Consider the following 11,995-nt stretch of genomic DNA (forward strand, 5'->3'; position numbering starts at 1 on the left):
AGTTGATTTTTGTATAAGGTGAGAGATGAGTATCCAGTTTTATTCTCCTGCATGTGGCTTGCCAATTATCCCAGCACTATTTGTTGAATAGGGTGTCCTTTCCCCACTTTATATTTTTGTTTGGTTTGTCAAAGATTAGTTGGCTCTAAGTATTTGGGTTTATTTCTGGGTTCTCTCATTCTGTTTCATTAGTCTCTGTGCCTATTTTTATATCAGTACCATGCTGTTTTGGTGGCTCTGGCCTTATAGTATAGTTTGAAGTCAGGTAATGTGATGCCTCCAGATTTGTTCTTTTTGCTTAGTCTTGCTTTGGCTATGTGGGCTCTTTTTTTGGTTCCATATGAATGTGAGTATTGTTTTTCCTAGTTCTGTGAAGAATGATGGTGGTATTTTGATGTGAATTGCATTGAATTTGTAGATTGCTTTTGGCAGTATGGTCATTTTCACAATATTGATTCTACCCATCCATGAGCATGGGATGTGTTTCCATTTGTTTGTGTCATCTGTGATTTCTTTCAGCAGTGTTTTGTAGTTTTCCTTGTAGAGGTCTTTCACGTCCTTGGTTAGGTATATTCCTAAGTCTTTTTTCCTTTCTTTTCTTTTCTTTTCTCTTCTCTCTCTTTCTTTTTTTTTTGCAGCTATTGTACAAGGAGTTGAGTTCTTGATTTGATTCTCAGCTTGGTCACTGTTGATGTAGCAGAGCTACTGATTTGTGTACATTAATTTTGGGTCCTGAAACTTTGCCAAATTCATTTATCAGTTCTACAAGCATTTTGGAGGAGTCTTTAGGGTTTTCTAAGTATATGATTGTATCATCAGCAACCAGTGACAGTTTGACTTCCCCTTTACTGATTTGGATGCCATTCATTTCTTTCTTTTGTCTGATTGCTCTGGCTAGGACTTCCAGTACTATGTTGAATACAAGTGGGTGAGAGTGGGCATCCTTGTCTTGTTCCAATTCTCAGAGGGAATGCTTTCAACTTTTCCCCTTTTGGTATTATATTGGCTGTGGGTCTGTCATAGATGGCTTTTATTACATTAAGGTATGCTTTTATGCCAATTTTGCTGAGTATTTTAATCATAAATGGATGCTGGATTTTTTCAAATGCTTTTTCTATGTCTGTTGAGATGATCATGTGATTTTTGTTTTTAATTCTGTTTATGTGATGTGTCACACTTATTGACTTGCATATGTTAAACCATCCCTGCATCCCTGGTACGAAACCCACTTGATCATGGTGGATTATCTTTTTGATATGTTTTGAGATTCAGTTAGCTAGTATTTTGTTAAGGATTTTTGCATCTATGTTCATTAGAGATATTGGTCTGTAGTTGTCTTTTTTTGTTATGTCCTTTCCTGGTTTTGGTATTAGGGTGATACTGGCTTCATAGAATGATTTAGGGAGGATTCCTTCTTTCTCTATCTTGTGGAATAGTGTCAATAGGATCGGTACCAATTCTTCTTTGAATGTCTGGTAGAATTCAGCTGTGAATCCGTCTGGTTCTGGACTTTTTTTGGTTGGTAATTTTTAAATTACCATTTCAACTTCGCTGCTTGCTAATGGTCTGTTCAGGGTATCTAATTCTTCCTGATTTAAGCTAGGAGGGTTGTATCTCTCCAGGAATTTATCCATCTCCTCTAGGTTTTCTGGTTTATGCACATAAAGGTGTTCATAGTAGCCTTGAATTATCTTTTGTATTTCTGTGGTGTCAGTTGTAATATCTTCTGTTTCATTTCTAATTGTGCTTATTTGGATTTTCTCTCATCTTTTCTTGGTTAATCTTGCTAATGGTCTATCAATTTTATTTATCTTTTCAAAGAACCAACTTTTTGTTTCATTTATCTTTTGTATTTTTTTTTTGGTTTCACTTTCTTTTAGTTCTGCCCTGATCTTGGTTATTTCCTTTCTTCTGCTGGGCTTGGGTTTGGTTTGTTCTTGTTCCTCTAGTTCCTTGAGGTGTGACCTTAGATTGTCTATTGTGCTCTTTCAGACTTTTTGATGTAGGCATTTAGGGCTATGAACTTTCCTCTTAACACCACCTTTGCTGTATCCCAGAGGTTTTGATAGGTTGTGTCACTATTATCTTTCAGTTCAAAAAATTTTAAAATTTCCATCTTGATTTCATTGTTGACCCAATGATCATTCAGGAGCAGGTTATTTAATTTCCATGTATTTGCATGGTTTTGAAGGTTCCCTTTGAAGTTGATTTCCAGTTTTATTCCACTGTGGTCTGAGAGAGTACTTGATATGATTTCAATTTTCTTAAATTTATTTAGACTTGTTTTGTGGCCTATCATATAGTCTACCTTGGAGAATGTTCCATGCACTGATGAATACAATGTATATTCTGTGGTCAATGGGTACAATGTTCTGTAAATATCTGTTAAGTCCATTTGTTCCAGGGTATAGCTTAAATCCATTGTTCCTTTGTTGACTTTCTGTCTTGATGACCTGTCTAGTGCTGTCAGTGGAGTATTGAAGTCCTCCAGTATTATTGTGTTGCTTTCTATCTTATTTCTTAGGCCTAGTAGTAATTGTTTTATACATTTGGGAGGTCCAGTGTTAGGTGGATATATATTTAGGATTGTGACATTTTCCCCTTGGACAAGGCCTTTTATCATTATATAATGTTCCTCTTTGTCTTTTTTAACTGCTGTTGCTTTAAAGTTTCTTTTGAAACGTTAAAGAATATAAGAAGAGCTACTTGTGCTCACTTTTGGTATCCACTTGCATGGGATGTCTTTTTCCACCCTTTTACCTTAAATTTATGTGAGTCCTTATGTGTTAGGTGAGTTTCTTGAAGGCAGCAGATACTTGATTGATAAATTCTTATCCATTCTGCAATTCCGTATCTTTTAAGTGGAGCATTTAGGCCATTTATATTCAACGTTAGTATTGAGATGTGAGGTACTATTCCATTCATCACGCTATTTGTTGAAATACTTCTCCCGTGATCTAGACCTTCAGGTTCCCCAGTGAGGGTCTGTGTTTGGGGGCGGATGATCCCCCTTTCCCACATTCACAGTTTGGGCTCTCACAGTATTTGGGCTGTCTCCTGGGTCCTGCAGGAGCAATCTGCTACCTTCAGAGGGTCTGTGGATCCTCTTGGCTTTCCTGGTATATTCCTGCAGTAGTTCTTGGAGCAAAAGTTCATGATGCTAGTCTCTGCATGATGCTCTGTCCATCTGAGTGGGAGCTACAATTTAGTCCTGCCTCCTGTCTGCCATTTTTTTCTAGATCCTACAGTGGCGTTTAACTTTAAATTGGAGATCATTGAACAATGCCCCTCTGGAGTTAGAAGGGACATAAGAAACACCTAATTTACCCCTCAGGCTGTCATTTGGGTTGAGGCTCATCCTGCCTAAATCCAAACAGTCTGGACAGTGGCAGAGACAGGACTGGAATCTGCAGCCAACTGAGCCCTTGTCCAAGGCTCCTTATACTGCCCCACACTGTCCTCCTCAGCCCCTCACACTGCAGCTCTCCACACTGGCCATCTTTGAGGCCCATGTGCCTCTGATGACTTGACCCCTTGATGCAACATTCTGCAGAACGATTGTGAAGGTTCAGTTGTGCTTGTGAATATACTCTGTAAAGTCAGTCTAAAACACCAAGCACTGTGCACATTTCTTGTTGTCAAATGGGCTAATAAATGCAATAGGGTCCTGAAAGCATTAAAGTATCAACACCTGGGTCAGGTGTGCTCATTATCATGATTATCCATGGAGCAGATGCTCTGGACAGAGGATCAACAGGAGCCTTGCTTGTTTTTCTATGGGGCTAATGCAGGTCAACCTCCTTAGGGCAGGTGGGCCAAGTCCCTGGGATGTCAGTCAAGGGAAAGTTTCCCAGTGAGTGCAGGAGGGGTATAGGCTGCTACCTCATAGGTCTCATTTTCAAGATTGGAATGAACGAAGCAAAGCAAACATGGTAGGCCACTTTCAATTGACAAGATACCTGGCACCCAAAGGAGATCTGACTGTGCCAGAGGATCTTTACTCTGAACCATAGAAAGTAGCACTGTTACCTTGATTGATTTTCCCTTAGAAAGGCACTTACTGACTTTTCCAGTTATTTAGGTGGATCAAATGCAAAATGCTACAGAAAATGTTTTGTTGCCTCGTTAGGGATGAATCCCATGGCCCTGAGACTATGTTGGGGCTCACATTTTTGTGTATCCTGTAATTACTGCCCTGGGGCTTGTCCCAGTCCTGGATGAGCTCACAGTGATGTGAAACCATTCCAAACTCTGCTGTGGGGACTGTAAGATCAACCAGGAGCTCAGATAAGGGAGTGATGAGTGTGGCATGAGTGGCTGGGAAAGGCTCCTGGGGAAGGGAGAACCTGAGCTAAGTCCATAATGGTGGGTGGGATATGGAAAAGGGGGACAGTGGAAAGGCATTTCAGAGGGAGAAATGTGTGAGTGAAAACATTGCTTTGTGGAGGTCAATTTAAGTTGCAAGTAAGTGAGAAAAGGAATCACAGTCATCTTTCTAATTCAATCAAGAGCACAAATAAGAAGAGCTTGCAAGGACATCTCCAGTCTTTTCAGGACTTGAAGTGAAACTCAGCAGGAGGAGAGGTAGAAATACCTGGTAGTGTTTCTTCCTATCTAGACCATTCCTTTATAAAATCATCTTGTGTAGTGTTTTTATTAATAACTCCATTATTATGAAGAAGAAGACAAAAGGGAAGAAGGAGGAGAAGAAGAAAACAATAATAATAGTTTTTACTATTTATTAAGTGCCTGCTATTTGCAAGGTTTTACTCTCACTTAGTTAACTATCACTTAGATTAGTTTTACTATCACTAATTCTTTTTTTATCGGAATTTAAAACTTGTTTATCAAAGACACCATTAATCAAGTGAAAAGGGAGAAAATATTTGTTAAACATATATCTAACAAAGGATTTATATCCAGAATATGTAAGCAGCTCAATAATAAAACAACCAAATTAAGAAACAGCCAAAAGACTAACAAAGCACATTAAAAAAGTATTCAATGCCATCACTAGGCATCAGGGAAATGGAGATCAAAACCATACACACTAGAGTGACTAAAATTCAAAAGATTGATATCAAATGTTGGTGAGGGTGTGGGTCAAACAGAATTCTTATACATAGCTGCTAGCAATGCAAAACAGTAGAGGCAATTTGAAAATCAGTCAGGCAGTTTCTCATAAAGTTGGATGTCCATCTACCCTATAATCCAGCAGTATCACTCCTTGATATTTACACAAAAGAATGAAAAAATATGTTTGTAAAAACACATGAATATTCTTGCTCAAGTATACTGCTGTAGATCTTAGTTTGTATTGTACACATGATCATATATGGTCTTGTATTGAGGTCACTGGTGTGTATGTCATGTGACTCCCACAGAATATTCTCTCAGTGCATGTGTGTGTTTGTATCACTACTACTATCACTAATTCTTATTCCCACCTTGCAAGGTCAGTCCTATTCCCAGTTTACAGATGAAGAACTTGAGACTCAGAGAGGTTAAGAAATGTCTCCTATGTCACACAGAAATAATAAGAATTTGAATCCAGGACTATCAGGCTCTAAAATTCATACCTTGTTCCCATACTCTATTGCCTCTCAAAATGAGATTCTCTTATGGTGGTGAGTGGGCCTAGGCTACTATTGAAAGTCAAGTGTGTTTCACTAATTCATAGGCATGAATGACTTTCCTATAGGCAAAAAAAGCTTCAAGCATACATTTTTAAATTATTTTTTCTTGCTGTGGTTATATTTGCTGCTGGTAGTGGTGGTGGTGGTAGTGTGTATATGTATGTATGCATATGTATAATACATAGCAATATATACTCATGTAGAGGCCGGGTGCGGTGGCTCACGCCTGTAATCCCAGCACTTTGGGAGGCCGAGGCGGGCGGATCACGAGGTCAGGAGATGGAGACCATCCTGGCTAACATGGTGAAACCGTCTCTACTAAAAAAATACAAAAAATTAGCCGGGCGTGGTGGCGGGCGCCTGTAGTCCCAGCTACTCAGGAGGCTGAGGCAGGAGAATGGTGTGAATCCGGGTGGCAGAGCTTGCAGTGAGCGGAGATGCACCGCTGCACTCCAGCCTGGGTGACAGAGCAAGACTCTGTCTCAAAAAAAAAAAAAAAAAAAAAATATATATATATATATATATATATATACTCATGTAGAGCTATTTATTGACACCTTGTTGTGGGGGCTTTAATTTCAGGTTGTTTATCCTGGTGCTGATTGGCATCAGCATCGCCTGGGTGCCCATTGTGCAGTCAGCACAAAGTGGGCAACTCTTCGATTACATCCAGTCCATCACCAGTTACTTGGGACCACCCATTGCGGCTGTCTTCCTGCTTGCTATTTTCTGGAAGAGAGTCAATGAGCCAGTAGGTATCATCTGGGCATGTCCAGAAAAGTCATTCTGGCATAGAAGTTTCCATGTGGGTTTGCATATTCTCTGTGGGAGGGATTCTATTTCCCAGAGATCTTGAGCAGACACGGATGTGCTGCTGAGGGTTTGTAGGGAAAGCCTCCAGGGACCATGGGGCTCTCTGTTGGAGTGAGCTCCTCGGGAGTTGGTATGGGAGGGTCCACGTTCTGTCTCCTCTGTCCAAGATTAGATTTTCTTAAAAATTTTTTTTAATAGAGGTGAGGACTCACTATGTTGCCCAGGCTGGTCTTGAACTCCTGAGCTCAAGTGATCCTCCCACCTCAGCCTCCCAAAGTACTAGGATTACAAGCCAAGATTAGATTTTCTATCTAATCTTGGTGATTTTGACCTGACTGCATGGCACTCCCTAGGCATTCTGTAGCCTCTAGGTGAGTGGGAGAAAGTCCTAGCACAAGGTACCTCCAGTGCTCTACTGTGAACTCGGCTTTCCAGCCAGCACCTCTCAGGGCCCAGTGAAGACAAAGTCCTGGTGCACAAGCAGTTTATACATAAAACAAAGTGCGTAAGAAGTAAGGGATACAATACAGCACATGATATGAGCAGGAAGGGATTTAAGAAAGGCTTTATTAGCAGGGACTGAAACTGTCAGGGAAGGCTCCTTGGACCAGCTGGAGCTGGAAGAATTTGAAGTTGGAGAGGGAAGACATGGCATTCAAGTCAGAGAACAGTACTGCCCAGACCTTTCAGGCAGAAGTAGGACAGGAGTGAGGGTGAAGGACTTGTATGGAATCTCACCTGGCTCAAGGAGAGTTTGTGAATGTGAAAGATGGAAGATGTGGCTGGAAAGGTAGGTCAGGGTTTCATTAACAGTGATCCCTTTGGTGGAATCTTTAGGTTTTTCTAAATATGAGATCATATCATATGTAAATGAGGCCAATTTGACTTCTTCTTTTCCAATTTGGATGCCCTTTTTCTCTTGCCTAACTGCGCTGTCTAGGACTTCCAGTACTATGTTGAATAAAAGTGGTGAAAGGGTATCCTTTTCTTTTTCCAGATCTTACCGGAAAGGCTTTCAATTTTTCCCTGTTCAGTATGATGTCAGCTGTGAGTTTGTCATATATAGCTTATAATCTTTATTGTTTTTGAGGTTTGTTACTTCTGTACCTAATTTGTTGAGTTTTTATTATGAAAAAATTTGAATTTTTAAAAAATTATTTCGTGGCAAATTTATTGATTTTTTTTGAGACAGGAATCTCACTGTATTGCCAAGGCTAGTCTCAAACTCCTGAACTCAAGTGATTCTTCTGCCTCAGCCTCCAAAGTAGCGAGGACTACAGGCACACCCCATGCCCAGCTAAGAAATAATTTTTTTGAGTGAAATAGTGCATGGGGGATGAATAGGGAACATATTTTTTTCTTTTTCCTTATTTATTTCTTCATCTAGAAGTCACTTCCAGATGCCAGCATAGGGTGAGGCACTAGCAACACAAAGTGAATGAAACCTGTTTCCTTTCCTGGGCAATCCCCCGGTTCAGATTGGGAGACAGAGAACTATTGTGATTCCATGGCAGTGTGGTTGGTGCTTGCCTGGATCTGTGTCCACAGTGCTGTGGCCACAGCAAGAAAGGGTGCACCCACCCTGTGTAGCTTGTCCTATTTAAGCTAGAATGAGGTTACCAGGAAGAGAAGAGCCTGTATTCTCCCAGATAGAATGAGCTGTACAAAGACCTGGAGACAAAAACACATGCCATGCCATGTGTGGGGGATAGCTGATAATTTGGAATAGAAAGTGCAGGGATACCAATGGCTAGCAAAGAGGCTGACCAGCACCTGATAAAACTGTGAAAGCTCTTTTGGGCCACCCTTCTAAGAGCACATTCTATTTTGCCACTGGCCTGCCAAACTCAAACCTAGTCCTTTAGGTGAGGACTTACCTAAGGGAAAGATAGAAAGGAAAAAAGGAAGGAGGGAAGGAAGGAAGGAGTAAAAAAAACCCTGAAAAATCATCCCCTCATGTTTCTGGTCTCTTAAAGTCTTCCATATTCTAATATGCAGACCCAAAATTTAATGTAAAAACACAGTATAATTTTATGTTCTCAAACTAAAAATAGTTCATAAAATAAACTACAAAGAGGGCTAAAAAAGTAAGTGTTATTTATATTTTGATGGAAAAGTTTCTTTCTCCTTCATCTTCCAAAGACCCAATTTCTTTTCCCATGTCTTTGTGAAATACAAATTACCTCACAAGTAATTACTTTTCATCTGAATATGCCTAAATCTGGAGATTGGTGTTGACAGTAGCTGCAGGTGGAGAGGCTCAAATTATTTTTCAAGTTAAAGGGAATTTTTGGAATCAAGTCTGTAGGTTGACATTCTATTCCAGTTATTAGACACTTTACCCCATTATATTATGGCTCCTTGTTTAATGATCGAGGTGAAATCATGTTGCTGAAACATGATAGACAGACACACTGAGTGTGTCTGTCTGAGTGCATAGCACTCCTAGCCATATTCTGAACTTCAGTGTTCTGGGTTCAGACAGCCTGGAGCTACCACTTCTCCTACCTCTGTTCCTTTGCCTCTGCCTATGCCTCTCCAAAGAATGTTAGAAAGGCCATCTGTTTTGTGTGTTCAGCATGAGTTAACCCAGGGTTTTCTTTCACAGGGAGCCTTTTGGGGACTGATCCTAGGACTTCTGATTGGGATTTCACGTATGATTACTGAGTTTGCTTATGGAACCGGGAGCTGCATGGAGCCCAGCAACTGTCCCACGATTATCTGTGGGGTGCACTACTTGTACTTTGCCATTATCCTCTTCGCCATTTCTTTCATCACCATCGTGGTCATCTCCCTCCTCACCAAACCCATTCCGGATGTGCATGTGAGTATCCATTTAGGGGATCTGTCCTTGTTTCATGTTCACACTGCAATGTTCTTTAATTTTTTTTAAATTTTTCATTATTATGGGTACATAATAGTTGTATATAATTATGGGGTACATGTAATGTTTTGATACAGGCATACAATATAAAATAATCAAATCAGGGTAATTGGGGTGTCCATTGCCTCAAGCATTTATCATTTCTTTGTGTTAGGAACATTCCAATTCCACTCTTAGTTATTTTAAAATACAGATTATGGTGGCTCATGCCTGTAATCCCAGCACTTTGGGAGGCCAAGGTGGGAGGATCACCTGAGTCCAGGAGTTTGGGACCACCCTGACAACATAGTGAGACTCTGTCTTTAAATTATATGTATATAATAAATTACGTATAGCTGCCCTATTGTGCTACCAACTACTAGATTTTAATTCATTCTAATTGTATTTTTGTACCCATTAACCATCTCCATTCTGTCCTCCATTCCCTGCTACCCTTCCTGGCCTCGGTAACCATCAATCTACTCTCTATCTCCATGAGTTTGGTTTTTAAAACTTTTAGCTCCTATATATGGTGAGAACATGAGAAATTTGTCTTTTTATGCCTGGCTTATTTTACTTAACATAATGGCCTCCAGTTCCATCCATGTTGTTGCAAATACAGGATCTCATTCTTTTTATGGTGGAATAATACTCTACTGTATATTTGTACAATATTTTCTTTATCCATTCATTTGTCAGTGGACACTTAGATTGATTCCATATCTTGGCTACTGTGAATAGTGCTGCAGTAAATATAGGAATACAGGTATCTCTTTGATATACTGGTTTACTTTCTTTTGAATATATATCCAGTAGTAGAATTGCTGGATCATATGGTGGCTCTATTTTTAGTTCTTTGAGGAACTTCCATAGTGTTCTTCATTGTGGCTGTGATAATTTACATTCTCACCAACAGTGTTTGAGGATTCCCCTTTCTCCCCATCCTCACCAGCATTCATTATTGCCTTTTTGATAAAAGCCATTTTAAATGGGGTGAGATGATATCTCATTATAGTTTGATTTGCATTTCTCTGATGATTAGTGATGTTGACATGCCACAACATTCTTGGTCAGCCTCAGCAAAATTATACATCTTATATTCACATTCACATGACTTGCCATTGGTTTCACGTGGAAGGATACATGCCAGGAAACATGGTGTGCCAACAGGCTGATATCAAGCCCATGTCTTTAGTCAGAGTCCTCACAGTTGTCCACCCTTTATTCCAGGGCTTATTCTCTGAAACCTGCTCCCCAAGTGACAGCTCAGGTGCGTAAGATCACATGGGTGGTACAGGGCTACCTGGCTTAGAAGCCTATGTTCCAAATAGAAACTGGTATTTCTTTTGACAGTCCCATGGTCAAAGCTTTCAAAGGTCCCAACAAAGCACATACCTAGTTACAAAAATCAGTCTACTCAGGGAAACCCAAAATATAGTTTGCCTCTTGATTTTTTTTTCCAAATTAGTCCACCAAAAATTGACCATAGGATGTAAAACATTTCTAACAATATCAAAGTCTAATTGATTCAAGACTTCAAAAGTTGCAATTACTCTTCTTTAACTCTAGATGCCCCCATTGGTTTAGAATTCATTCATGGCTCTCCCAATTTAGATAAAGATGACCAATTATGAGCCATTTTTATTAGTAGTCTGGTAACCCAACACAGATTTCCAGGTTTCCAAGGGAACAGAGCCAGAAAGTTAACCCAAGGTCATATTTATTCCTAGAAAACAGAAGGATTTTGTTAATCCTTTACTTTACTCATGCATGCACAGACTATGGAATCCCTAAGAGACCTTCAACTTCATTGCCAAATTTTTAAGAGCTGTGACAAACCTAACGTCAAACAAAGACTGCTTTTATGGCAGCAGAACTGAATCACATCTATTTGCTGGACCTGTCACAGGCTTTCTTTGTGTTGTATCAACTGCTTCCTCATGTCTCAAGTCTTTGAAAGTATTACAACCCAAACACATTTCTAGTTGATGCCCTAGACCGAGTTCATGCTCTAGATCAAGTATTTGGTTCATGCTCTTGACTATGTCAATAGAAACTGTGCCTTCAGCTCTACCATATTCTATTATGGCTCATGATTCTAGCTTCTTATCCACATAATGTGACATAGTGCAAAAATCTGAACTTACACTCCTAACCTGGACAAATGGTTGTCTTGTTGCTTCCTACTGCCAGTGCTAAAAGGAACAAATTATTTATCACACACACACGTAAAAGAGTTCATTCAACAAACATTTCCATATGAGGCAATCTTTTAGCTCTGAATATGCATATATCATAGAGGCTAGTATATACATGTATATTACTTTTATCTAAGTTACCAATGTTTTTAGAGATAATGTTATGGATGAGAATCGTTGTGTATGTTCTTCCTGGTACTGAGATGCCACATTCCCTTCCCTTCCTTGATGCATATCTCTTTGCCCCCCCAACTTCTTGTCCCAAGATGCTATTTGGATCTTTCTGTTGACCTGTTCTGCCTTCTCTGCAGCTCTACCGTCTGTGTTGGAGCCTGCGCAACAGCAAAGAGGAGCGTATTGACCTGGATGCGGAAGAGGAGAACATCCAAGAAGGCCCTAAGGAGACCATTGAAATAGGTGACTTATGACCCAGAGCAGATCCTAAACCATAAAAGTTACTCCTACAACAACAAGACTTTACTGAA

At 39.9% G+C, this 11,995-nt stretch overlaps 1 protein-coding gene across 3 annotated transcripts in view; it reads left to right on the forward strand.

Moving 5' to 3' along the window:
- Nucleotides 1–11,995, forward strand: part of SLC5A1 (solute carrier family 5 member 1) — a 69,769-nt gene that overhangs the window by 49,704 nt on the left and 8,070 nt on the right. For 2 of the 3 annotated variants that reach the window (NM_000343.4, NM_001256314.2), the window contains 3 exons: nucleotides 6,219–6,387; nucleotides 9,058–9,273; nucleotides 11,822–11,927. In NM_000343.4, the coding sequence (NP_000334.1) occupies nucleotides 6,219–6,387; nucleotides 9,058–9,273; nucleotides 11,822–11,927 (491 nt within the window). Of the gene's footprint in view, nucleotides 1–6,218; nucleotides 6,388–9,057; nucleotides 9,274–11,821; nucleotides 11,928–11,995 lie in introns of those variants that run through there. The other variant, XM_011530331.2, reaches the window with a different exon arrangement.

Source organism: Homo sapiens, chromosome 22 (genome assembly GCF_000001405.40).
Source record: "Homo sapiens chromosome 22, GRCh38.p14 Primary Assembly".
NCBI lineage: Eukaryota > Metazoa > Chordata > Mammalia > Primates > Hominidae > Homo > Homo sapiens.